This window comes from Homo sapiens, chromosome 11, assembly GCF_000001405.40.
Source record: "Homo sapiens chromosome 11, GRCh38.p14 Primary Assembly".
NCBI classification, from domain to species: domain Eukaryota; kingdom Metazoa; phylum Chordata; class Mammalia; order Primates; family Hominidae; genus Homo; species Homo sapiens.
The window spans coordinates 21112630-21140007 of NC_000011.10; the positions used below are offsets into that span (position 1 = coordinate 21112630).

At 38.9% G+C, this 27378-nt stretch overlaps 1 protein-coding gene across 4 annotated transcripts in view; it reads left to right on the forward strand.

Annotated features, from left to right (window-relative positions):
* The window catches only part of NELL1 (neural EGFL like 1), a 906136-nt gene that overhangs the window by 443079 nt on the left and 435679 nt on the right, over positions 1 to 27378 (forward strand). For all 4 annotated transcript variants that reach the window (NM_001288713.1, NM_201551.2, NM_001288714.1 and 1 more), the window contains one exon: positions 960 to 1085. In NM_001288713.1, the coding sequence (NP_001275642.1) occupies positions 960 to 1085 (126 nt within the window). The remainder of the gene's footprint in view (positions 1 to 959; positions 1086 to 27378) is intronic.

Genomic DNA, 27378 nt, shown 5'->3' on the forward strand with positions numbered 1-27378 from the left:
ATATGGATTGAATTAGATAATATCTTTACAGATATAAAACATTGGGTTCAGAATTGACCATTGGGACAAAATGATGAGGATACTTGGACCCAGAGTAGTTGAATGCAAGTCATAGACTATTAATCAGCAGAACCAGAACTAGAGCTCACATTTTCTGTCTTGGATTCCCATGATGTACTCATGTCCTTCTTTCTCTAACCATCACACACAAGCAGTCTGAGTAAAAGGAACATAAATCTGTTTTTGAAAACAATCTCCAGAAAAGGCTAAACTCTGTGCTTAAGGTTGTAGGTTATTTTAATCCCTATCACGAACTTTTATGAGAAAGCAGGTGATGCTCTGAACTCCATCCCAAAAAGAACAAGACTTTTTGTTGAATCAGCCCATTATTCTATCACATGGGGAGGAGCTCCAGGTCAAAGGATGAGAGACATTAATTTGCATCAGGCAACAGCAGTTGTCTATATTCATAGTACAACATGGGAGAAACTAGCTACACCATCATTTTGTAGCGTTTGAATTGAAGCATGTCTTAGTAAGACATACAAGCAGAGAGGGGCTGGATTCCCTTGATCCCTCTGATAAAAGCTATACCATGTACTGTGGACACCTAATAAATATTCATTGATATCGACTTAGTGGACACAGAACTCCTTGAATTTGGACATTTAAAAAGAGTATTCTCCTTGGTAAGAAACTAATAGTTGTAAATTCATTCTTCATACTTCTTGGGCTCTTACCTGTTTTGTCTCACCATGCATCGTTCTGGAAACACTTTCAGCTCAGGATGGGATCTAACGTACCAAGCTGAATTTTCACCTAAGCTTTTGTGTTTAATGCATGTTACTTTTTCTCTTGGCTTCTATGGACATTTATCTTTTTTAATTTATCTGCAAAATGATTACACTGTTGTTCCATTATTTTGCTAACCATGATCTTACTTATTTTTTTTCCTTCAGATATTGATGAGTGTGCAGCTAAGATGCATTACTGTCATGCCAATACTGTGTGTGTCAACCTTCCTGGGTTATATCGCTGTGACTGTGTCCCAGGATACATTCGTGTGGATGACTTCTCTTGTACAGGTGAGCTTTAAGAAGCAGTGTTGTTTTTTTAATTCATCCATTCTCTGCACCATGTCTGTGTTATTATGTTTAATTCCTAGTGCACAAAGTACTATTTTTATCTAAATAGTTCTTCTCTTTATTACTTCACCCCACCTTTTGAGAAAAAAGCAATAATAAATAAATTATCTGCATAATTGATTTCCACTCCCAATATTTCTGCCTCTGTGTGTGTGCTTGCATACATGGGTGTGTGATTTGAAACTGAAGTCCCAGTTGCCAATAGTAACACTGAGGGAGTTAGATATACTAGTTCTAAAAATAGAAAGTATCAATTATTTTCGTTGCATCATGATGAGGTGTTTTTGTAGATAAGAAAATGTACTTTGTTCCCACTGGGAAAGACAAGGATTAAATTTAAAGAGGTGACAGGGAGTACTTGGTGGTCAAAGTTTAGGTATATGGGAGCTGGTCGAAACTGTATTTAATTAATATATGCTTGTTGTCTGTGTCCCACCTCTTTCTATATCCCTTAGCACTACAGTGGTCACTGACTCTGTTGGAGTAGCGCTGGTTTTATGGGGCATTTGGTTTGGCTTTCCAGTATATTTTCAATCATGTACATACAGACATGAACAGTAAATTGGATAAGGGTGGTAGAAGATTCCAAGTTTTTCTTCTCTTGGACCAAATGTGTTTAAATACTAAATCTGTAAGTTATAAGAAAAGGGTCCCTTGAACCCAAGATTTCAATCATGTTGTAACTTTTCCTGATGTCTGCATCTTTCTCTTTGTTCCAATCACGTTGGTATATAAAAAGTGGATTCTTTACTCAGAATATAATACCGCTATTTTTAATGTACTTTTTTTTTCTGAATGACCTTTTCAGAAGTGCAAAAAGTTGCAAAAGTTAAGGGCACATGTTAGTATGTCCAAATTTCTTTGCCAGTGATGTCTATTTATAAGTTACTATTCTTTGGGTGAAGGGCTGGAGAGTTCAGATTGACACAGGTTTCTGAGGACCACATAAAGTCACATCTCACTTATCTGTCTTTTACATATTATAATTAATACTCTTAGGAAAAGAAGAGAGAGACTGCATAAACATAGTGCGCTAGGATTTCAGTGTTTTAAAGGATCAAAACTTTTTCGGACCAATAAACAAACACTTTCTAAAAAGCTGTAAAGTTACAGGGCCTATCAATCTGTTCTTAATACTAAATGTGGCTCTTAACGTCTTTTAACCCTAAGATTAGAAGAAGGCAGTGAATATCCTCCTAGCCCAAGAGCACCATATTATGCAACTTAATAAACATTAATTAAAGCCCTGCTGTGTGGAAGACCTTGTTGAAATTCTACCAGAATGCTTGACTTTGCTCGGATTTCCTCACTGAGAAAGGAAGGCAAGAGCTGGCACTTGTCGAATGCCTTAATAGGATAGGCGCTCTGTCTGGTGGTTTATATATGGAACAAGATGGAAAATGTGTTATCTTAAGAACTGGCTCCACAATTACTTTTAGAAAGGGAACTATGTGGTTTGGAATAAAAGGTAACAGTGTGGGTATCAGTGGGCACCCAAGTGCCCTTCTCCCCCCTACACAGGAAAGAGTAAGGCTCTGCAGGAAAAGTCTACATCAAACACACACACACACACACACACACACACACACACACACACACACGCTTTTTTGTTTTGTTGTGTGTGTGCCTAAGAGGGAACACAAAAGACAGAACAAAAGAGAGAAAGAAAGGAGGGGAGAGGAACCAGTCAGAGAACAGAAGGTTGGGTGCTGTGGAGGACAGAGGGCTGGTGAAAACCACCCAATAGTAGGATAGCTGAAAGGATTTTTAAGAGAAGAAATATTTTATGTGAGTTTTTTTTTATTGTTTTGCCATACAGTATGCTATGTGAGTTTTCCTTCTTACCCTCAAATCTTCAATAAAGTCTTCCCACCCTGAATGCCTCATGAGAACCGCCCTCCCTCCCCTATTAGAATGTAAGTTCACATGGTGGACAACAGAAAGGATACCAGTGCATTTAGGATGTGGGGACCACAGAGGTAACCATTATCAAGTAACCATTGTTACAGTTCTTTCTGCTGCCCCCACCAACATACACTTACTAATATACACACACATCATTATCATCACTGCCTCCTCTCAGGAATTTCAGAAATCTTGATGAGGACTGTGGATTTTCATAGGTCACAAAATAGGTGAGGTTTTTTTTTCTTTAAAAAGCCTTCCTTTGATCCCAGATTTCTTTCAACCTGCTTCCCTATTTTTCTGCTTTTCCTCACAACAAAACTTCTTAATTTGCCTGTGGTTATTGTCCTCACCTTACATTTATTCAGCTCACATATGCTCCTCACCTCTCTCCAGTCAGACTTCCATACTCACCATTCTGCAGAGGATACATTTATCAAGGCCATTTATGAACTCTGTTTTGCTAAAGCCAGTGTTCTTATCTCAGCAGCATTTAGCAGGGCTGACCACACCTTGCTCTTTAAAGCACATGTTTTCTTGGCTTTTGTGCCATCCTATTTCCTGGTTTTCCCTCTTTGTCACTTGTCACTCTTGCCCAATGTCCCCAGCTATTCTTGTGCTGCTGACTTCTGAAAGGTTAGAGTACCCTCCGGTTCTATCCTGGTCCCCTTCCCCTGTTTACCTATAGGTTCTTTTTAGATGCCTTCATCAATCTTAGAGCTTTAATAGTATCTTTATGTCAACAACTCCTAAATGTATCGCTCCAGTTCCAATCTTTTTTCTGAACTTCTGAATTATATATTCAACTTGACATGTACACATAGATGCTTAGTAGGAATTTCATGCTTAACATGGATAAGACAGAACTTGATTTCTTTCCACTTCTACAAACCTCCTTCTCTCCCAACTTCTCCCATTCCAGCAAAAGCACCATTTACCCAATTTTTCTAGCCAAAAATGTAGAGATAACTCCTTCCTCTCCCCAGGGGTTACACTTGATCACCCCTCCAATTTCAATCCATGCATCTGTCTTGTTGATGCTACCCTTTACGTCTTGTCCTAAGTCCATCCACTTCTGTCTATATCACCTATTACCATCTTAGTGGACTTCAGCCATGGCCATCACATTGGACTTTCTGTTCCAGTCTTGTTCCATCATAACCCATTCTTCACATAGCAGACAGAGCAATTTTTTTAAAAAGAGAAATCATACAACTCTACTTAAAACTTTGATCTAGTGTCTCATTACATGGAAAATCAAATCCCTGTTTCTTATTTCAATATATAACCCTATATAGTTTTCCTTCTTTCCCTTCTGTCTTTTACCGTTTCTTTCCTTGTCCATTATGACATGGCCATGCTGACCTTTGTCTTTTTCTCCATGTAACAAGCTTGTTTCTGTTTGTTAAGACCTTTGCATGAGCTATTGCCCTTTTATGGAAGTCTTTTTCCTCTTGATATTTGTGTATTGAGCTCTCTTCTCATTTACCTCTTAGCCTAAGCCTCAGAGAGGCTTTCCATGATCAATATAAATAGCCACTCTGTTGTTTTCTGTCATACCACCTGATTTTAGTTCTCTGAGTAATACATATTATTATCTGGAATTTTCTTATGTATAAATGATTCTTTTATCTGTCTCTTTCCACTAGAATGTAAACTCTTGAGAGCAGGGGCCTTTTTCCTTTTGTTCTCTACTATACCTTGACTACTTAGAACATTACCTGGCACAAAGCAGTGCTCAATAAACATTTGTTGAATGAAATAATGCATAAAGCTACTTGACTTTGGGCAAATTTTTCACTTTTGAAAACCTCATTTATAAAATATTGCTCACATCTGTCGTACCCACAGGTTATAGTGAACGTCAACTAATATATGTGAAAGTATTTATCATAGCACTTTTATCAGTAAGGATAGGATGTTCTGTAGGATGTTCAGAACATTCTATTGGATGTTCTAAATATAAGTGACTTAAGATAAATTTTATTTTTTGCTTATGCTATTTGTCTATCTCTGATCAACAGAGGCGTTCTGCATACCATATTCACTTTGGGATGCAAGCTGTTGGAATGGTCACTATAGTGAACATTTCCAATCATCAAGACAGGGAAAAGAGATCCTGGAGGCCCTCCATCAGCCATTAAATGTTCTGACCAGGAAGTGACACAAATCACATCTACTTATAACTCATTGACTAGAACTAATCACTAGTTCCATCCATCCACAAAGGGATGAGAAAATACTGTCCTACCTCATGCCTGGAATGGTAGAGGACCAGAAACATTTGGCAAATGGTACCCATGCCTATATAGTGAGTGATACTAACAGATTGCCAACAAATATGGTTTATTTTGACATGAGTAGCTGTTGATTAGGATAACCTTTTTTCAACAGCAGTTCATAAGCTATGTAGGTATTCTCAAAAATTAATTACAATATTAGGCACATTGTATTAAGTGCTATGATAGAAATGCAAGCAAAATACAATGAAAAATGGCCCTTGATTGCCAAGATGAAGTGTTTGAAATGTTTTCTGAAAGCAATGGGGGGCTGTGGGAATTGACTGAGGCATGCTAGCATGCAATGACTATACTATGTTAGGGATTTACAATGGGGAATATGGATGGGAGACAGGAGACAGGAGGAGAGCCTCTAGGCCAGATTCAAGGACCTTCATTAGACGCTTTCATAGTAAGCTTGAGTCTTTGGAATGCTGACATTTATTTTGTGTCCTGAAAATAAGCTTGTTAGACCAAACGTGCTCTGTACTCTCCAAGATATATTATGTCCCCACCCATAACCTCTGCCATTTTTTATAGGCAAAGAAGACTTCCTTCCCTTAGTGGTCATTTGCCTGTGTAATAAATGAGGTGTATGATAGATATCTGCCACTATAAAATGTCTTTTCAAATGTTTCATTGCCAGATGATTATTTGTTGGGAGAAATTGACAGGCCTAAAGGCATTCCTTTATTTGACTCCGGATCCTGATATAGCATTTCCATTATTGACATTCCTTATTTCCAAAGACCATTCTAGTCTCTTCTCAAATCAATCAGTACCTGCTGACGCTGTTCAGCTGGTTTTATAACCATGTCAAGGTCATATTTTTTTCCTTTCTTTTGCTGTTTTATGTCATTTAGCTTTGCTACTCAGTTTTTAGAAGTCAGTAGTCATACTGAAAAATTCTATTCAACCAAAAATAGGAAGCCTAAAGTTAAAGAAGATATATCAGCTTTGGTGATTCATTGATTTATTGGATGATTGATTAATTAATTATTTTACTATGTATGAAATATTCAGTTAGTGTCTGTCACAAGTGTTATAAAAGATAGTCACCAAGATTATTAAAAAATAATGTCTGTGCCAAGGGGTTCATGGTTTGTTAATTAGGCAATATCTTCAAATGAGAAAACTCAAATGTTCATTCACCATCAAAAATATTGCTTGCCAAATCAATCCCTCTTTGAAATCTTAGTAGTTTAGTTTAGTATTGGATGTTTCACCCTGTGGTAGTTATTACTACTTGACAAGTTTTAAAGAAGGAAAACCAAACTAGTCTTTCCCAATTCTGTGCTGACAGCCATGGTCCTTTCAGAAGACTACACCTGAGACAGTGGATGCTAAGCATGATGGAGGAGAAAGGCAATGCATTACACAGAACAGGAAACTTTAGCTCTTACCCAACATTTTTCTTGCTAAAAATTGAAAAAAAAAAAAAAAGGATTATATATATGGGATAATAAAGCTCCAAGAGTTCAACATTGAGAATAATTATCTAGAGCTTAAAAGTGTGCTGTAACTTAATCTTTACCTCCCTGGGGACTGGGGTTTCCCTGACATGAGTATGTGTTATATATGGAGCTCTGTACTTTTTTGTAGGGAAGTCTCCCTTGGCCTTTGAAAGGGTGAAATCTAAAACATTTGGCCTTTGACCCTTGGGGGAGTTTTTAGCCTTGGAATTTTCGTGTGGATTGAAATTGCGTTGTTTCTTGTAAGAGATCCCTTAGTTGCTCTTGCTCTTTTATGAATTTTGAAACTGGAAGAGGTCCCTGAAATGGAGGTGTTACAGGGAGGAGGGGTTTTTCTTCTCTCCCCCGTATGCTTTTGGTTTTTGGAATAGTCAACCAGCTTGATTTATTGGCCTCTGACTTTCATTTATCCCCAACTAAACTCCCCGTGTTTCTGGCTGTTTGATAAGACATTATCATTAGATACGCAGGCAGTTTTAAAGGAGGATATTTGTGATTTACAACAAAAGCATGCAGCGATAAGACAGATACTTCACAGTAACGGGTAGGCATTCATTTTTATGCCAAAAGCTTCCCATGAAGGTAAGAAATAAAGGGAACAAGTGAGATAACAAATATCCCATGTGATCTCTATTACCTTGCTAAAAGGATTTTTATTTTCTTGATATTGGCATGGAAGAAACCTTAAAGGAAGTTTATGTTTGAAATAGAGAAAACTTAAAGACTTAGATATAATAGCCTATTAATTTAATGGTTTGAATTAAGTACACTATAATGAAAAGAGATTAGACAACAGTTTAAATGCCTTAAAAGTAATAGTTAGTTGTTAGAAATGTCAGGCTAGGTCTCTGGAATATGCTTTACTCCCATGATGAACTATACAAATATTTTTGATGAAATTTTATTATAATTTTGGTCAATTATATTGATGAAATAGAGAATATTTTCAAATATGAGATATCTGATATTTTCTCATTTAGCAGAGCCACATGAAATGGAACTAAAACAGAACATTCCGCAACCTGATTGAGCAAAATGGCAAATTTTCCACGGATCATCATTATCTTTCAGGCCCATACCATGTACTTGTGTCAGAATGCTTGTCCTTGTTTACCGTAGGCTGTGTGGCAGCATTAAGGGACAAGTTACAGGACAATTGCTTGGCTTTCAGTCTCAGCAGAGGTGATACATTTATAAGAATGAAACAGGTCACAGGCCTCTAGACTATTTTACTTTAGTAAAAATATGCTCTATGAAATGCTTTATAGAATGCAAAGCTACTTTTTGCTTGTTAAAGATAACCAGAAACTATTTATTGATATATTGAACAAGAAAAGTCAAAATAAAGCATGTGCTACTACTTTTGCATATTTCAAAACCAACCTAGAAGGTCTGATGATAGTTATTTATCTGTTGTTTTCATTTGTATGGCTGGAATTTCTCTCTTTTTTTCTTCCTTTCATATAAATAGATAATTGGCTCTGTAACCCTCCTTCCCTACGCCCTCAGAGGAGGAATGCTACTGTACCAAAAGCAGGATTCCAAAATCCTAATTCTTTATGGCAGAGATTCCCAATTCTCACCTCAGGGTTGAATCACTTGGAATCTGGGATCTATCCCCAGAGATTTTGATTTTTGGCTGTTCTGGGGTTGGGACCCAGCTTTGGTGGGCTTGTTTAAAAGTAATTCTAATGTCCAGTCAAGGTCAAGAGCCACTGCTTTAGCATAGAGCAGAAGAACAGAGAGGGTTGGAGTATGGAGAGAATATCAGAGGGAAATGGGAAGGGATATGAATTGCCCACTGTATTTTGTAGATGAGAAAAAAGATTCCATAGAACTGGTGGTGAGAAATGTGGAGTTCAGGAAGTCATGAAGCAGGGACTTGGATGGTTCCTGGAGGAGGGGTCCTGCTTCCAAAGCTGCACTCTGAGATGTATAAGACGCTGGATAGACAATGACTGTGAGGTATCTCTATAGATGGGGCCTCATGGGAAGATGTTGAATCTTTAACTGTGACATTGCTGCTGCATTGCCTGAAAGCGCCCTAAAGACAAATGGAGCATATCTATGGTGACTTTGTGTTCCATGGGCTGAGGATTAGGCAGCTTCTTCTGTGCCAATGCCTTGGTTATTGGGGGTCCTCTAGAGCCATGATAGAGCCTGATGGAAGTGGGGAACACTTAAAATGACTGAGACATTTCAGTGACCCCACTATCTCAGAAGAATAGGAGCTCACAACCATTCAAGTTGAATTGAAGAAATTATAGAAACTTTCATCACTTGCACAAACACTTTTGTGACTGGACTTCTCTACCTGTCACATACACAAAAAATGAAGTCAATAAAAGAACGAAACAGAAAAAAATTAAGAGGTCCCTCTAAAGAGGGATTATAGTATAAAAATTCATCGAAAGTTTGTTTTTCCAGACCAATTTTAGTTTTCCATATGTAGTACTGGAAAAGCCAAAGACCACATATTTATTTCATTTAGTGATAGTAGTGTTAAAATAATGTTAGGGTTTATTAAATCCAGCACATATATCTTAGGGAGACTATCAAAGCTCATTTACCTTGAAATTTCATGATGAAAATAAGTCTGAAAGACATGTCTAGTGTTTGATTGTTTTGTTGGGTTTAAGTGGGAGTTCCTTTTTATTCCTACATGTGTTATAAAGGACCTGAACCACTTTGGCTGTTGCAGAACAACCAGGATCAATGATGGAGCTTGCCCCTAGGGTGTTTGTGAACAAACCTATTAAGTACTGTGTTGCCCTTGACCCAAATTCATCATAAAAGCCTTGTTAATATTTCTGTACACTCTATTGTTAGATTTGTGCATTCAGAATCACAATAAGGCTTTCTCATAAAGGAGTTTCATTAAGGATGCTTTAGCGCTTACAAAATTGTTGAGGCTGGTCTTGCAGCTCCACTCTATCCACATTCAGGTCATACAATGAATGGACATTTCTCTTTAACAACCAGTGTTTTATCTTATATTCTTTATTTCTATCGTAAAGACATGGTACATGCATATCTATCTATCTATCTATTTAATCTATCTGTCTATTGTTATTTCTGTACTTTTTAGAAGTATAGTGAAGTGCCTTAAGATTTTTTCTTTTGCTAAGATAATTGAGAATATATACTAACTATTCTTTGGCCAAAATGAAAGCTATAAATTCTCATGGTTAAAGTCTAGTGTATAAATTCTACTGGTTGCAAGCTTTGATTATGTCACTTATTTACTCTGTGAATCAGAAAGCTATTTAAATTCTCTGCTTCTTCATCAGTATTCACTGTACATCCTCACAGAGTTGTTAAAGGATAAAGTGACACAGCGTACGTATATCAGTTTGAGTGAGTTTAGCTGAAAGAATTAAAAAAAAACAGAATAACATCAAATGACTCAACTGGCTTAAATGACAAATTCTCACATAAAACAATGACTGTGCGGACAGGTTTTTCAGAAATAGTTAATTCAGCTGCTCCATGAAATCCTCAGTGGAACAGATTCTTTCTAACTTTTTACTTGGTTATTTTCAGTATGATAGTTTTGGAACTTGATCTAGCTCCCCTCAAGATCTCAAAATGGTGAAGTTACTCCAAGCATCAAATCCTGACTTAACCATGTCCCAGAGTCAGAAGGGAAAAGAGATTTCCCTTTTCACAGTCCCTTTTTAAAAATAAGAGTAACTTTATTAAAAACCTCAACAGATTTATTGTCATGTCTCATTAACAAAAATAGTTTGACCTACCTATTCATAAAATATACCTTAGAAAGATAAATAGAATCAAGATTTATCCCCTGAGGCTTGGGCAGATCCCAGCTTCTTTTGTAGTACTTGGATAACTTACATCTAAACAAAATGTGGGTTTCTTTGTCAAGGAAGATGTGTGTGCCTGCGTGTGTGTGTGTGTGTGTGTGTGTGTGTGTGTGCGTTTCCATGTATGTGTAGATCCACAATTGTTAGAGTATATTAACAGCTTTGAAAACATGTTTCAAGCTTAGGATTAATAAAAAGAAATGCAAATTAAAATGAAAATTAGATAGCAGTTATACTAAATTTATGTGTGTGACTATCTGTGTGTAGATATATGGATACACATATATAGATAGACATATATGTCAATCACTCTTTTCTGGAGAAGGTTCAGGAATTCAGCACTTTCATATATCACTGATGAGAATGTAAATTGATACAACCTTTCTTGAGGCTAACTTGACGGTTTATAGCCAAAGGCCTAGAAATGTTTATTTATAGTAACTTATCCTAAGAAAACAATCAGTCACAATTATTTATGTAAGAAGACTTTCATTGTGGCCATTTATTCCATTTATTATTTGTAAGAAAAAAACTGGAAGCAGCGTAAATATAAACTCATGGAAATTCGATTAAATAAATGACAATAAATCCATATAGTGGAACATAATGCATATTAAAATAATGTTTAAAAGAATATTATGTGTCAATGGAAAAGTCTCATCATCTAACATGATTTAAGCAAGTATGTATTTTATTTTTCACTTCAAATAATAAAAAATATGTATGAATACATATGCACATACACATGCAAGCACAGACACATAGAAACACAGACAGGAAATATCCTCACACTCCTTCCCAAATAAACAGAGAACAGAGGGTATCTCTGAGTGAATGGTTAAACATGATACTTTTTCTTTATACTCTATATATTTTCTAAATTTTCTGTAGAAAGAAATATAAGACAATGAACCTATATACATATTATTATGAGAAAAGTGTTATTAAAATATTAGAAAGCAGAAAATGCTAGACAAAGGTGACATTGAGTTTTTTTCCCCCCGAAGTCTCCTAAATGTTACCTCAGTAAATTAAAAAAATATATATTTATGACCTGGTAGGGATAATGTCTTTCATCTTTTATGACACAGATTATAGTTCTGAACTAAAGTGATTAAAAGCAATGGCTTTGCTTCATGTTCCTGGAGAATCTGCATGGCCAATATGGCAACTGAAGGCCACTTGCAATTATGGTGCTGTCTTAATTCAGGCAGCTGTAATGAAATACCTGACACTGGGTAGCTTATAAACAATAGGAATTTCTTTCTCACAGTTCTGGAAGCTAAGAATTTCAAGATCAAGGTGCCTGCAGATTAGGTGTCTGGTGAGGGCCTGTTCCTCACAGATGATTTTTTTTTTTTTTTTGAGACAGATTTCGCTCTTGATGCCCAGGCTAGAGTGCAATGGTGCGATCTCGGCTCACTGCAACCTCCACCTTCCGGGTTCAAGCGATTCTCCTGCCTCAGCCTCCCAAGTAGCTGGGATTACAGGCATGCACCACCACACCCAGCTAATTTTGTATTTTTAGTACAGACAGGGTTTCTCCATATTGGTCAGGTTGGTCTTGAACTCCCAACCTCAGGTGATCTGCCTGCCTCAGCCTCCCAAAGTGCTGGGATTACAGGGGTGAGCCACTGTGCCTGGCCAGATGATGTTTTCTTACTGTGTGCTCACATGATGAAAGGGGTGAGAAATCTTCCTGGGGTCTCCTTTATAAGGGCACTAATAACCTAATCACTCCCAAGGCCCCACTTCCTAATACCATCACCCTAGGGGTTAAGATTTTAACATGAGTTTTGGGGGAATAAAAACATTCAGACATTTCAGATGCTGTGTTCTTCCTGGCAGCTGATCTGATAGTGGAGTCCTACCACACTACCTCTCATAAGCTTTCTATGAAGGGTTTTCAGAAACAAGGCAGTTGGTCCAGATTTTTCTGGATCAGGGCCAAGACAAAGAGAGATACTAAGGGGAGCCTGAAAAGACCCAGTATTTCCATAGGAAAGCAACCACTGAATGAGAATCAGGGAACATACATTCCGGTCTTCCCCCTACCACCAGCTCACTGAAAGTTATCATGTCAACATTTTTCTTGGACTTTGAAAGATTAAGGTTTAACTAGCTCAATGGTTTTCAGTCAGAATAACTTGGATTCTAAATAATCTTTCTTTTGAAAGAGTTCAGCTTCTTAAAAAAAAAGGATTATTTTACAAACTATTACTTTTCTAATTCTATGATTCTGTAAGATATGGTTTCTGACCTCTAGGAGATTGTGGTCTCTTTGGGAGACATAAAATTTACATTTAAGTAGAATAATTTTATCAGGCATATAACTGAGTTCTAAATTGTGAGTTACAGGCATTAAATGCTATGGGAAAGAGCATTGGTACTGGGAGAAAGGACATTTATTACTAACTGGTGGAGAGGAAATGTTTTCTATCCTTCCACGGGTGTCTGAAAGGGTTTGAATTTGATGTTAGGTGGGAGTGCATTGAGAAGTAATTGTGCCTGTTGCTTGAGAAATAGATCCATCTCCATTTTTATTGATCTACAATGTGAACTGGAGGTTACCTGTGTAGAAATGGAAAGAACACAGGGCTCTGAATCAGCCAGGCCTGGGTTTCTGCCCCAAGTAGGGTATTTATTCATAGCACCAACTCAAATCATCTTCAGAGAAATGGGCACATCTTCCTTCTAGAATCTTACAAGGAGTGAATGAGAGAATATTTGTAAAGTGCTTGGAAGAGAGCTCAGCATAGAGTAAACGCTCAATAACTGTTAGCAATTACTACCTCTACACATGAGGAATCTATGTTAAGGTGTGGGAGGTTGAGGAACTTGTCTACAGCTGTAGGCTAGTTGGTGGTGAGGCAGAGATAGGAAAGTCGACATTGTAACTCCATAGGCTCAAAGATAGGATAGGATAGCAGGCTGTGTTAACTCCAGAAGCTCAAATATAACCTCCATCAGAGCTCTTTTGAAAATGTCTTTAAAATGCGAATGCAGACAAGATCGGGTGCATTCAGACCAAAATCTCAGAAATCACCACTGAAGAACCTATTCACGTAAGCAAGCACCTACTGTTGTCCAAAAACCTATTGAGATAATAAATAAATAAATAAATAAAATGCTAATGCGATGTGTTCAGCAAGCAATAGCCATTGTTAGAAAGAAAGAAATAGCTTGGGCTTGTGACCAAGTGAACCCATATTTAACCCGCAGCTCTGCCTCTTACAAGCTTTGGAGTCTTGGGCAGATTCTTTAAGTGCTCCATGCCTCAGTTTATAACACCAAGAAAGACGATTGGGTTTTAAGGTTTGATCATGTGAAAGAAAGCCCAACCCAATGACTGAGTCCTAGGTGGTACTCAATATTGAAGCCCTAAGACCTGTTCACCATATTTCCTTTTTCTCCCTCACCTTACTAAGTAGCTCTTAAAGCACTTAAAAGAATAACAGGGCACCTTAAGATACATTTGGAAAGCCGCTTGCCTTGAGAAGCCCAGGCTGTGTAGACAGTGTTCAGACTGGGAAGATGAGCCTAGAATCAGATGCTTTAGGCTCATGAGTTAACAAGGAGATGATGTAGTGTAAAGTGGACTTCAAAACAGAGTTTATAACTACCAAGGAATACATTCCTTTAAGTCAAGAGAAATATCACCTTCCTAGAGTCATTAGTTTGTGAGTTGCTGTAGAACAGAGCTTTGGAATGTGCTCTGTTAGCTCCCTTTAAAAATTTAACTTTGTTCCCTGAGAAGGGAAGCCCATTAAACTGCAAACACTTTTTGGCATTTATCAGTTCTGCTGGCTGGCATCTAGTTATTCCTTAAGGGTGGTCATAGGACAAATTGTTTTCAAGAGAAGACTGGTCTAGGTTGGACACAAGGATGGAGTCTTTGGCACTCAGGAAATTTCCTTAGAGGGAATTCGCAACACACAGAGAGACAGGTAAAGAAAATAGCAAGTTTAATACAATTATAAAAAGGGTTTTTCTAGTTATAAAAATAGTATATTAATACTATAGTAACATTAAGAAATTTAGAAGAATAAGAAGAAAATAGGCTATATATGGTGGCTCACACCCATAATCTCAGCACTTTGGGTGGCCTAAGTGGGAGAATCATTGAGGCTAGGCATTCAAAACCAGCCTGGTCAACATAGCAGCAATCTGTCTCTACAAAAGAAAAAAATTTAAAAAATTAGCCAGGTGTAATTAGCCAGGCATTATGACATGGGCCTGTAGTCCCAGCTACTCATGAAGCTGAGGAAGAGGATTGCTTGAGCCTAGTAGTTCAAGGATTCAGTGAGCTATGATCCGAGAAGAAGAAGAGGAAGAGGAGGAAGAGGAAGAAGAGGAAGAGGAAGAAGAAGAGGAGGAAGAGGAGGAGGGGGAGGACAGGGAGGAGGAGGAAAATGACGACAACCTCTATTAACATTTTGCATTTAGGAGTATTTATCTTATGTCTGTTTTCAATGCCTGCATTTGTAGTCTACATTGTGGAAATCACACTAATGATCAATATTCAATTTTTTCTTTTTACTTATTTCATAAGCATTGCCCAAATTATAAGATTATTTGAAAGATATACTTGTTTATGGTTAAAAATATTCTCTCATATGGACATCTTATCATAGCTGTTACTACATTAGAGAAGTATTAACATCCAGTTGCCTCTCTGTCTTCATTTGTTTTTAACAGATGCATGCATTTTTTTTCTTTCTGTATTATCATGATGATCATTGTTTTTCCTCAGTTTGGACAAAGAGTGCGTCACAGAACAAAAACTCAACCAGCCCAACACAGGGACTATGCATGCTTACGGACTCCTGGAGGGGAGCATCTTAGTTTGTCTGATGTTTTCTATTTAGGGACATTTTAGGGAAAAATAGGAGGTTAAAGAGCTCTGTAATCTTAATAAATATCGTGATGTTTTAAGGACCCCACATAATTATTTTACAGAAAAGCACGTTGTAACTAGACAGTGGTGCTCTAAAGTGAGTCTTTGCCTCATTTATGAGATGTGGCTTTCATATTTGTATTTTCTTACTGAATTATTTGTCCTTTAAAATTTGAAGAGTATTCCCTAGATGAATTAGCATTTTTCCCCCCTTTTGGCGTTTATTTTCCCATTCTCGTTGATAAGCAGACTATAGGGAAAGTATTAAAGTATTAGGAGTTTCAAATAGCTGGGATGTTAGAGACATATAAGGCATCAGAAATATCTTCAGATTAAAGCCATTTGATTCTGAATTTTGAGGAAGTGTTGAAGAAATGTGCCTGGAGAAATCTTACTTGTGAATCATCAAAATCTTTAGTATTTTTTCTCATTAGGAGAGCTATGTCACCCTCAAGCAGATCGTCCATTTAATTGGTTATAATAAAAATGCGGCATTGATTAGAAGAGGCAGACCTTATCCCTTACTATCAGTGTGAGAGGGGGATGAAGGAACAATTATTGTCCCAGCCAGGGGAGTGTGGTAGTAAATGACTGTTACATCACGGCCACCCAGGCTGAGTGGTATACAGTACAGGGGAGGGAATCAAGTCAAGATTTACCCTGTAATGCTTTTCTTGGCCTCAAGCAAACTGTTTATTTTTTAGGACAGGTTGGAACAGCTTACAGCTTTGGAGCCAAACCCAGGAGGGATACCAGAGACTAGTGCCCTCTATCTATTTTTAGGATTTAGAAAACTGACAAGTTACAAAGTAGCACTCACATGTTGTCATGCTTAGCTCTCAAACCAGCTGGAGTTCTGAATTTATTCAACCTCTACTTGGACAAGATTTATTTTATTTTGACTATTCTTCTAGCTCCCTTTTCCTCTTGACTCTATTCTTTGGTGGATTATTATAGCTTTTCTCCTTAAATCTTGTTTTCTTTACCGTTTACATTTGTTTCATTATTGTGTGTATGTGTGTGTGTGTTGTTATTTATGGGTGAATCTAATAATGGTCTAAATGAGAGACTTAATGCCATGAAACAGAAAATAACAGGTATTGGTGAGGATGTGGAGGAACTGGAACCCTCGTGCACTGTTGGCGAGCACGTAAACATGGTGTAGCCACCATGGAAAATAGTTTGGTGGTTCATCAAAAATTAAAAATAGAAAAAAATAGAAAATAGAATTAAATGATCTGGCGATTCCACTTATGGGTATATACCCAAAAGAATTGAAAGTAGGGTCTTGAAGAGATATTTGCACACTCATATTCATGGCAGCATTATTGACAATAAAGTGTGGAAGTAACTCAAGTATCCATCAATGAATGAATGGATATGCAAAATGTGATACAGACATATAATGGAATATTATTCCGTTTTAAAAAGGTAGGAAATTCTGATACATGCTATAATGTGGATGAGACTAGAGAACATCATCCTAAGGAAGATAAGCCAGTCAGAAATAGACAAACACTGCATGATTCCACTTATATGAAGTACCTGGAGTAATCAAATTCATAGAGACAAAATGTAAAATGGTGGTTGCCACAGGCTGGAGCAATGGGGGCATGGAAAGTTATTGTTAATGGGTATAGGGCATTAGTTTTACAAGATGAAAAGAGTTTTGGAGATGGATGGTGGTGATGGCTGTACAATATAAATGTGCTTAATACCACTGAATTGTGCACTGAAAAATGGTTAAGAGAGTAACCATTATGTTATGTTTATATTATTTATATTTTACTTCAACTAAAACATTGGGGAAAAAATGCCACCAGGGGAAAGATCTCTTCCCATTAGTAAGTTATGCAAATGCAGTAGGTCTAATTTCTTTACTACCATAGGTATATGAAAGGATCACAGAGGAGAGTTTTTCAGATAATGTCAGGCATCCACCTTTTTATTTTAATTTAATTTTTTTTAAGTTTATGGAATAAAATTTCAAATAGTCATCTGCTCGATGACTTAGGATTAGGTATGGATGCTTGTTAAATCAGTAAACTCCAATCAGCCCTTCTCTATCCTGTGAGTATCTCTAGTACTGTCTTGTGGAATGAAGTGCATGGGTTTTACAGCCTCAGAGACTCCTTTCACAGATTCTGGGTCATGGCTGTCTTCCTAAGAGATGAGGACGATAGAAGTCTGGCTATGGGATCTAATAAGGTTTTACTAATTTTTTTCTATAAATGGAAAGCAAGGACTTAATGGTGATTACCTGGACAGTATCCCTTCTAGAAGAGGAACAGAGTTTTGGGTGGGGCACTTCACACACAGCATTTAGGAAATTCAGTACCCATGTCCCATGTCTGATAACAAGGCCTCCACATCTAAATCTACAGGGTAAACATGGCAACTCTAGAGTCAGGGACAGAAATATCTCTAAGCAACCAGGGAGTTGAAAGAGGCTTGCTTTTTTTCTTTCTTGTTACATCTATGGTATTACATTTTCCCTGCTGTTGATAAATAATTCAGATAAGAAAAGAATATTAGAGCCATGACCTTTTGGAGGACAAATACATTTGCAATTGGTCCCCAAACACCCACAGGCTCTTGTGCGAAGGTCAGTATTTTGTATTTGTTAGTTGGCAGTATGTTCTTTGGGGCTTTGAAATCCATGGGCTTTGTTTCTGTAGCTAGAAGGAGAGTGAGGACTGCATGTATGAAATGCACAGACCTAATGGTGTCATCTTGTCACGGTCCCTAATTGGGCTGCTGAGCAACAGGTAATAGACTGGTGGGCATTAGTGGGCTGTGCAGCTTTTTTCAGAAGACGAGATTATCTGAGGATATTTTATGACATCATATAATTGATTTTCAACCTAAATAGATGTGGACTAGACTACCACACTGAGTATCTGGGGACATGCATGCTGATGTGGTGGGGGGAGATGTCAGGATGCCTAATGCTGGAACTTTTGCCTCTTGCAACTAGGATGTGCATGCACACCTAACAATGCCACCTACCCGTTTGTTCACTTCTGAAAATCATCTCTAATATGAGGATAATAATAATAATGATTTAATTTATATTATCTATAACAATAATTAAGAAGGTAGACTCTGGATATAGTTGTTTGGATTATTTATGTTTAGAAGCAATGTTATTATCCACCTATTAAGCAAATCATTTGTGTCAGCATTCACCATGAATGCTGAATATTTGGCAAGGAAATGCGGTAGAGAGGAAAGCATTTGGTATTGGGTATTAGAGAGACTATTTTAATCCAGACTAACATACTACATAGCCTCAGGCAAGTCATTTTAACTCTTTAGGCCTCAGTCATCATCTGCAGCAGGAGATTTTTGGATTATAAATGGACTTTTAGAAGTACCATTAAGTGCTGACGTCTTTGAAGCCAAGATTCATGGCCTTTCATCTCTTCATCCACAGTGCTTGCTACAATGATATGTACTTACTTGTTCCTTTTTTGTTTTTTTGTTTTGGGGGAGGGAGGCTTAAATATACATCTATAATCATTTGGAGCATTGCAATTTTGTTTGATTCATAAAACTTTATTGTAAGGGTCCCTTTTAGTTTTACACTTAAAACTTTTGAACAGATGTTTTAAAAGAATGTGTGAACATCATTTTGACATATTTCTTTGGTGGTGTTTGTTTTGCTGAATATTGCATGTAACTTTTGCATACTGACTCAGGCCATAATGATGTTTTATTAACCACTATTGACTTGTGACTTGGAATTGTCACACAAGTGATCAAAGAACCTTCCTTTGCACATCAGGAGATTTCTGAGGGAAAACTGGAGACACAGGTACAGGATGGACAGCTGGTCTCCCCTTTGAAGTTCTTGTCATGCTGAGTTTCATACACGCTTTTGAACACTTGTTGGCAAATATCACCCCTCTGGCATTGACTATGCTGTTTGTTTAAACTGGTGCCCACAGAGCCAAGGCAGTAACATAGAGGCTCATGGTGCAATGATAACAGGTTCCAGTTGTGCCTTTCCTCAAGGATTAGCCTGTATTTTGTGTGTGTGTGTGTGTGTGTGCATGTCTGTGTGTGTATTTGTATATGCACGCGTGCACACACACAGGGCAATGGGGAGGGTAATGTGGGATTGTCACGGGATCCTTGGGGTGTTGCCTCACCAGCTGGAAACCTCTGTGGCTGACGGAGCCTCCCGTCTAAGTATTGCTCAGGCCCATTGGGCTCGTTCCATCCTCTTGGCCCAGCAGGCTGTGCTTAGCTTATACTACTGGCTTGGATCCCACATCTGTCAAGGGTGAGCCAGGTACAGAGCGGTGAGGGATGTGTGAGCAAGTGAGCACACAGTCCAGGCACTGCACACAGCCAGGCATGCTGGCTGCTTTGGTGGGGCAAGCAGCTGCTGGCACAGGTGCTAGCTCCGTGTGAGGCTGCGGCTGGACCAGATGTACCACAAGTGGCTTCCACTGCAGGCACCTGAACAAGGGGAATACGTTGGTGCCCAAAAGCTTGGAAATGCCAGGAACCACAGAGCCCCAAAGAAGATGCTACAGCCCTGGCTCGGGGAGCCCCTAAATCTGGGCTCCCTGAAGGGTCGAAGCTCTTCTTTCCTTCTTGACATGGTGAGCAGTGGGGTGGGGGAGGGGAGTGTTAGAGGGGGTTCAGTGCATGTTTAAACCCTGTTTGCGTTGCTGCTCTTTCAGTCCTGCCATTTGATGGGTCCCAATTTCTTGTCCCGCATCCAGGATGAATGAAGTATGCAGAAAACTGGAGGGTGAGCAAGGTGAAGAGGAGCTTTATTGAGTGACAGAACAGCTCTCAGGAGACCCGAAGTAGGTAGATCCTTTCTGCAGGCAGGTCATCCCAATGAGTATCTGGCCCTCAGTGGAGAGGAGACCCATAGTGCGGGTCTTAGACGGAAGTGAGGATAGATGGAAGATGACCTTTCCACAGTCAGGTCATCCCAACAAGTGTCCAGCTTAAGAGAAGACCTGTGGTGGGTAGCTTCTTTCCTCAGGCAGGTCATCTTGATGAAGAGACCCAAAGTGAGTAGCTCCTTCCCACAGCTAGTAGTCCTGACCTCTCTCTTTGAGTCTGGCTGAGTTTGAATTTTTATAGGCTCCAGAAGGGAGGAAGTACATGCTGATAGGTCCATGGATGGGCCAAGATAAAGCACCGAAAGTTTTCATTCCAGTTGGCAGAACTGACAGCCCAGCCCCCAGGCTTCAGACTGTCCTGGTTTGAAGGTGAGGCTTCACCAGGGACCCACCACTTCCCACCCAGGAGCCTGTCTGCCTCTTGCCACCATCAACCTGCTGTCCCTGGCACCCAGGCTGTTCCTGCTGAGGGGTGCCTGCAGGCCCCCACCCAGCCATCCTCAGCATCCCTCTGGCCTCCTTCCCATGCTCATCAGTGCCCAAAGTCCAGAAGGGGCCCCAAGGTAGCATGGGACTGGTGTGTCAGTGCTGCCCTGAGCCCTCGCTCACCTGGTCAGGATGCAAAAGCACCCAGGTTTGGCCTCAACTTTGCTCCAAAATCAGAGCAGGACTCGGGAGCAGGGGTGGTGTGGGGCAGTTGTTGGGGGATGGGGCTTGGTGGGGGGGTGGGGGATGGGCTTTGAGAGCAAGCACTTCCAAGCCTTCAGGGGTACAGGGGCTTCCTAGGCCCTGAGAGCAAACGGAGGCCCGGGTTCACAACTGTGGCTGGGTGGCTGCAGCTGCACCTGGAGGGTGGGGCTCCTACCCCACCAACTCAGAAGTGGGCAGGGCTTCTGCCTGTTCCCAGCTCTTGCAGGCTCCATGGGGCACGTAGCCCCAGCCATGCCTCCTCCACTGCAGCTGATGTCTTTGCAGCAACCACTTTCAGACAGGCCGCAGCTGCCATCAGGATCATGAAAAGAGTGGGAACTAAATGCCAGAAGACCTGCATTCAAGTCTCCGCTTTGATATGGCGAGTTTTATGACTTTGGGGAAGACACTTTACATGACTATTGTCATTCTTCTTTGGCAAAGTGAGAGTGGAGACTTCTGTTTTAGTGCTTCTGAAAGTCTATGATTCTAAGTGGTGTGAATGACCAAGGAGGTCAGAAGAAAGGCAGCACTCAGGCTAGGATGACCAAAGAAAGCTTCTTTGAGTTGGTATCTCTGGAGCTGTGAAATAGGGTTTTGTCCTTATTGTTGTTGTTGTTGGGACTATAAGGATAGGAGAGTCTTCCTCAGTGGAAGGACAGGAAGGAGTCAAAGCATAGAGGAAGAAAGATCCAAGGCCTGTTTAGGCATCTTCTCTTTGGTGTGATGGCCTTTAGCCTTCACTGGGGATGAGAGCTCTTGAAAGGATGACACACTCTTAACCAAACTCGTCTATGCTCCTTTGGCATCTTTGCTTTCAAATTCCTGATTTTAACAGTTCTGATAATCACTTATTCCACAGCAAATATTTTTTAATTTACTGTGCTTCAGATTCTCTTTTGTGCACTGAGGGTAGATGGAAGAGACAGAATCCCTGTCCTTTGTGCTTGGTTAGAACATCTGATCTATGCAGTTGGCATGGGTAGAGGAAGCCTTTTGGCACAGTTTTAAGTATCATTTGAGAGAGGCGTATATGCAACCCACAGTAATCTATTAAATAGAGCGTGCTTTGAAATGTAAAGTCCAAATGATTGAGTATTGGAGGTATGACTGAATAGCATTTCGGAGCCAGCAGAACCATGTTTACTAGCTTAATGCACTTGTATGAATTACTTAACTTTGCTGAAGTTTAATCTCTCATTTGTATAATGTGCATAATATTAGTATTTATAACATAGGGTGGTTTTAAGTATTAAATAATCAGTGTAAAAGACCGAATGCCTAGCATATAATAGGTGTGCAAAACATGCTAGAGTCACTGTTACTATTATTATAATTTCTGTTATTTTTGTTTTTCACTTAATGTTGAACATGGAATCACAGTATTGCTTAAAAGTGGGGAAAAGCACGCTATCACCTTTATCATTGTGATATTTACTGCTTTCTCTTAAACTCACAGAGTTCCTTGGTTGTTGGGAACATGTAGATCATAAGAGCAATCTATTTATAGCTTTTATGACAGCATCCATTTGTGGCTTCCTTGCATTTTAGGAAGGAAAAAATATATATCCTCTTAGGTATGATGATGATTATATTTCTTAGGTATAGATAGACATGTCCTATGGATGTTAACTCATGAAGAACTCAGGCAGAGAAGTGTGTAATTGTCTGGTGCAGTACAGATACCCAGAAAACTGAGGAAGATGATTCAGGAGGCGTTTTGTTTATATGACCAGATTTACCAACTAAATGGAGGATGCAATTCATGATGCACTTGAGCCCAACTTTGGAACCAAAGAGACCTGAATTTGTGTCTTAGTTCTACAACTCATGTGACTTACAGCAAGTCACTTTAACCCATCTGAGCCTGTTTCCTTATTTGAAAAACAGGAATGATAACAATAGCTGCTCCTTTATCATGACATAATATGAGGGATATGTGAGCTAAGAAATATAAAATGCTTAATGGAATTATAGCATATAGAATCAGCAACTAAAACATATAACAACATTCTATATATCTAGTAATACCTACAACATAGTAGTTGCTCAATAAATATTAGATCATTTTTCTCTCTCATGTAACTTTATGTATTTTCATATGGTTATATAGATTTGAAGTAAAATATTAAAAATATTCTTTTGAGAATATTTATCAATTTTTGGTCCCTAAACTTGGTGTTTCACTTTCATATCTGAAACTGTTTCTGTATTCTAGCACGTGAGCCCCCAGGATTTGGTCTCTGCCATTGTGGAGTTTATATTCTACATGGGGAAATAGCTATTTAAAAATACTTATTATTTCAGTTGTTATAAGTGCTGCGAAGAAAACCAAAACAGGGTAAAGGATTAGGAAATTATTGGTGTGATCCAGAGGGCTAAATTACATAGGGCCGTAGGGGAAGATCTAGTGAGGCAGTAGCCTATTTGAGTGAAAATCTGAATAAGGGGATAGTATGAGCCCTGAAAAGTTCTGTGAGAACATTTCATTCAGAGGGAATACCAAATGCTATGTTGCCAAAGAAGGACTGAGCTTGGTATGTGTGAGGAAAAGACAGAAGGCAGCCATGCCTGTTGTGAGGGGGGTGGGTAATGAGGTTGGAGTAATAAGGGGAGACCAGGTCATGTAGGGCCATGTGGGCCATGGTAAGGGGTTTAGATATAATTATGAATGTTTTGAGAAGCCATTAAAAGCTTATTCAACTATAGCAGTGGTAGGATAGTCACTATTGGTGACATCAGTAGTTCAGTAATCTATGTATTTAGTAGCATTTCCTATATTTCCAATATAGAAATTGTTGAGGTAGAGTAAGGGTAGTTGGGTATTGTTGAGTTCAAAGAGGTGGCACAGGAAATGACTCTGTCCATAAGGTACTTAATATTTAAGTGAGGAGACAAATCTATTACAAACTGAGTCATTTGCAAATAATTTGCTACACTGTATTACTATCTCTAAGTGCAAAAGAAGTTAAAAGTAGGAACAGTCCCCTGTGGTTTGGAGCAATTTAAAAAGACTGTCATTGTTACTGTTATCATCTTCATCATCATCATCATCATTTGGGTTGGTGTCCACTTTTTTTTAGAGTACAAGACTATTGTAAAAAATGGTCTGCAGTAAGCAATTTAGTCACAAGTTTAAGTGGATGTTTTCTTCACCAGTCAAATGAAATTGTATGGATTTGGACCAAAATACCCAGTCTCACCAGTAAAGAAGAGAAGAGAAGGTGAGTTGGCTAGGCGTATCCTTAAAGGCAGTCATTCTACCTGTATTAATGTAGACCAATTACTGTTATGGAATCTAACTCAATCTGATTGGTATGCCCAACTCTTACAGAAGAGAGAAGGAGGAGGCATGTGGTAAAGAAAGCAGTGGAGATTTTCTCTTCCTTCCTTTAAATTCATGGTGAATTCATCTTATAAGTGAATGGAAATACTGGACTGGATTACATGGAAGAGTTAGATATTTGAAATAGAGATGTGAATCATCCTGATACAGATAAGTAAATAAGGATGAAAAAGTGTTTAGAGAAAAGGGTATACGACCAGTGTCCTGGAGGAGAACCCCATGTAGAGACCTGGAGGTGGAAGAAGCAGTAGTAAAAGTGGCAATAAAATTAAGAGATTATAAAATGGAAATAAGAGGCAGAAAGAGTTGGTGGTTGGCGGTACTGCTAGAGGATCATACAGGCTCAGGAGGGTGAAGGCACTGAAAATTCCATTGTATTTGGCAAGAAGAGAGTCATTGGCAGTATTCCAAAGAGGAGAATCATTGCTGTCTCTAATAACAGGATTTAAAAAGAGACATTTTGATAGAAAGTTGGATAGCGGGTAGAATTTGGAGGGTTTTGGCAGTCAAAGGATTAGAAAGAATTGGAGAAAAACCTGATGAAGACAGCAAGGTCAAGTGAAAGATATTTTGTCCTCCTCAGGCCAACTGTTAGGATGAAGAATACTTGAAGGCTAGATGGGAAAGCAGAATAAAGATGCTTAAGGCATCATTTCAGGCAGGCAGCATACAGGTGGAGGAGCTGGCTTTGTGGAAGAAGAGGAAACATTTTCTTCTTAGGCTAGAAGGAAGGGTTAAAAGGTCCAAGCCGGAAGAGGGGGTCTATTGTTAAAGTTAAATATACTTGGAGAGATCCATGCCTGTGAATGCACTGGCTCGATCTTTTCATTCAGTACATTTTCTGTAACATAATGTCTTTCTCCATCTTTCAGAAACCACGAAAACCAGCGCTACCCTATGTAAATAGAAACGTAAGGTTTCTCCCTGGAGGGACCTTTGAAATGTAGTGTACACTTTATTGCTCTCTCACATTCTCAGCACTTTGTTTGGCAAAGGTGTTTTCTGAGGGTGGAGAGAACCTGATGGCATTATTTGTGCAGCTAAATCTGGGTTTGAGAGCTCTGCAAAATGGCATTTAATTCTTATTCCCTCGGTGCTCTTGGGGAAATCTCATAATTGCTCTCTCAGTCTCTCCATCTGCAAAACTGGTATAAAATCCCTCTTTTCCTTCCTAGGGCATTGCGGGGATTACTAAGTTAATGTTTTATAAATCTCTGGAAAGATTCTAAATGTGAAGTTCCATCATTACCCACCTACTAGATATGATGACACTCATAATGATATATTTATTACCTCATGTTCATTTCCACAGCAATAGCCTGTGCATTTGTAGAGATATGCTTTCTGTGCCAGGGCACAAACTGAGACAAACCATCTATCACTCAGAGACACGTCAACAAGAAAATAAAAAGTGAACACATGGTTTGTTTTGACCTAAATATTGTTTTGGGTGCAGAGCCTGTTGTGAATTTTTCTCCTGAAAACAAAGTCTGCCCCCTACCTTGCTGGAAAAATATTTAAAAGGAGACCTGAAGGCTTCTTGGGTCATGCTGGGTTTGAGATGTCAATAAACAAAGTATGAAATCCAACTGTGAATAGGTGTGATTTATCAGTGACAGCAATTTAAAAACATTTTTAATTTTTAAAATTAAAGTTATTTTAATCAAATAACTTGATTGTTCAAATAACAATCAAGTCAGGAATCTCTGAATTTTAATTAGGAAGAATGATAGTTTCTGTTTGAAACCGTGACTCATGGAGGGGTCCTTCCTCTTTGTGAAGTGTTAGTGTAAGGAATTTCTGTTTGTCTGCTCTTGTGCCAAAGCTCTGGATTACAATGGATCTAGCATCCAGCTCGTCATAGTCCATAAAATATCTGACTCTATTTTAGTTAATTCAACTAATGAAGATGGAGTTTGTCATGCAATGTCCTCATTGGAGTAGTTTTGTAAGAATAATACAAGTGGAACGTATTGAGGGCTCATGCTTCTAACAAAAGTTTGGTGTGTAATAACCTCTAGGTAATGCAGAGATGGCTTGTGAAGAATCAAAGAGAGCAGGTCCATCTTACTTCTGCCACCCAAAATACCATCTTAAAGTAGGGAAGAGGACCTTCTTTGGAAAGTAAGAGTGTGGTCTTTTTCTTTTCCTGCCCATTTTCTCACTTGCCTTTGCTGTTTTCTAAATGTGCTGCCATGACTGGTGAAGCCTAAAATAGTACCATCAATTCAGTCTCTAGTTATCCATCCTAACTCAGGGACACTTGCTTTTCCCGGTGCCTGGAAAGCACTTCCCCTCACATCTGCATAGCTGGCTCCCTTACTTCCTTCAGGCCTCTGGCAAAGGTCTCCATTTCAGTGGAGCTTCCCTGGCCATCTTTCCAAATGTTCAGTCCCTACTGTCACTTGCTTTCTCCTCTCTCTGTTAGTTTTCCCTTCTTACAACTTATCACTATCCACCACATTACATACTTTACTCATTTACCTTAATCATGATCTGTCTCTTCCACTAGAAAATTTGTAAGCTCTGTGAGGGCATGAATGTTTGTTGCTTTTCTTCAATCCATATCCTAGACACTAGAATGGTGCCTGGTACATGGTAGGCACTTGATAAACATTTGTTCACATTGTAGGTGATCAGTAAATATGACCAGCAAATATTCAATGTCCTGGGTACTGTGGTAGATGCTAAAGATATATTCAGTTGCAAGTAACCAAAAATCCAGCTCAAAATAAACAATAAGGAAGCTTTGTTGGCCCATGTGCACATAAGTCTGGAGGTCAGGCAGTTTGGGGACTGGGTTGGCACAGCAACACAAGGATGTCATCAAGGACCTGAGACCTTTCCTTTGTTCCCATTTTTTTCCTATGATTCAGCTTTATGCTAAGCCTCCTGGGATCTCTCTGTGGATTTGAGATGAGTGTCAAGAACAACATTATCTTTCATATCTGG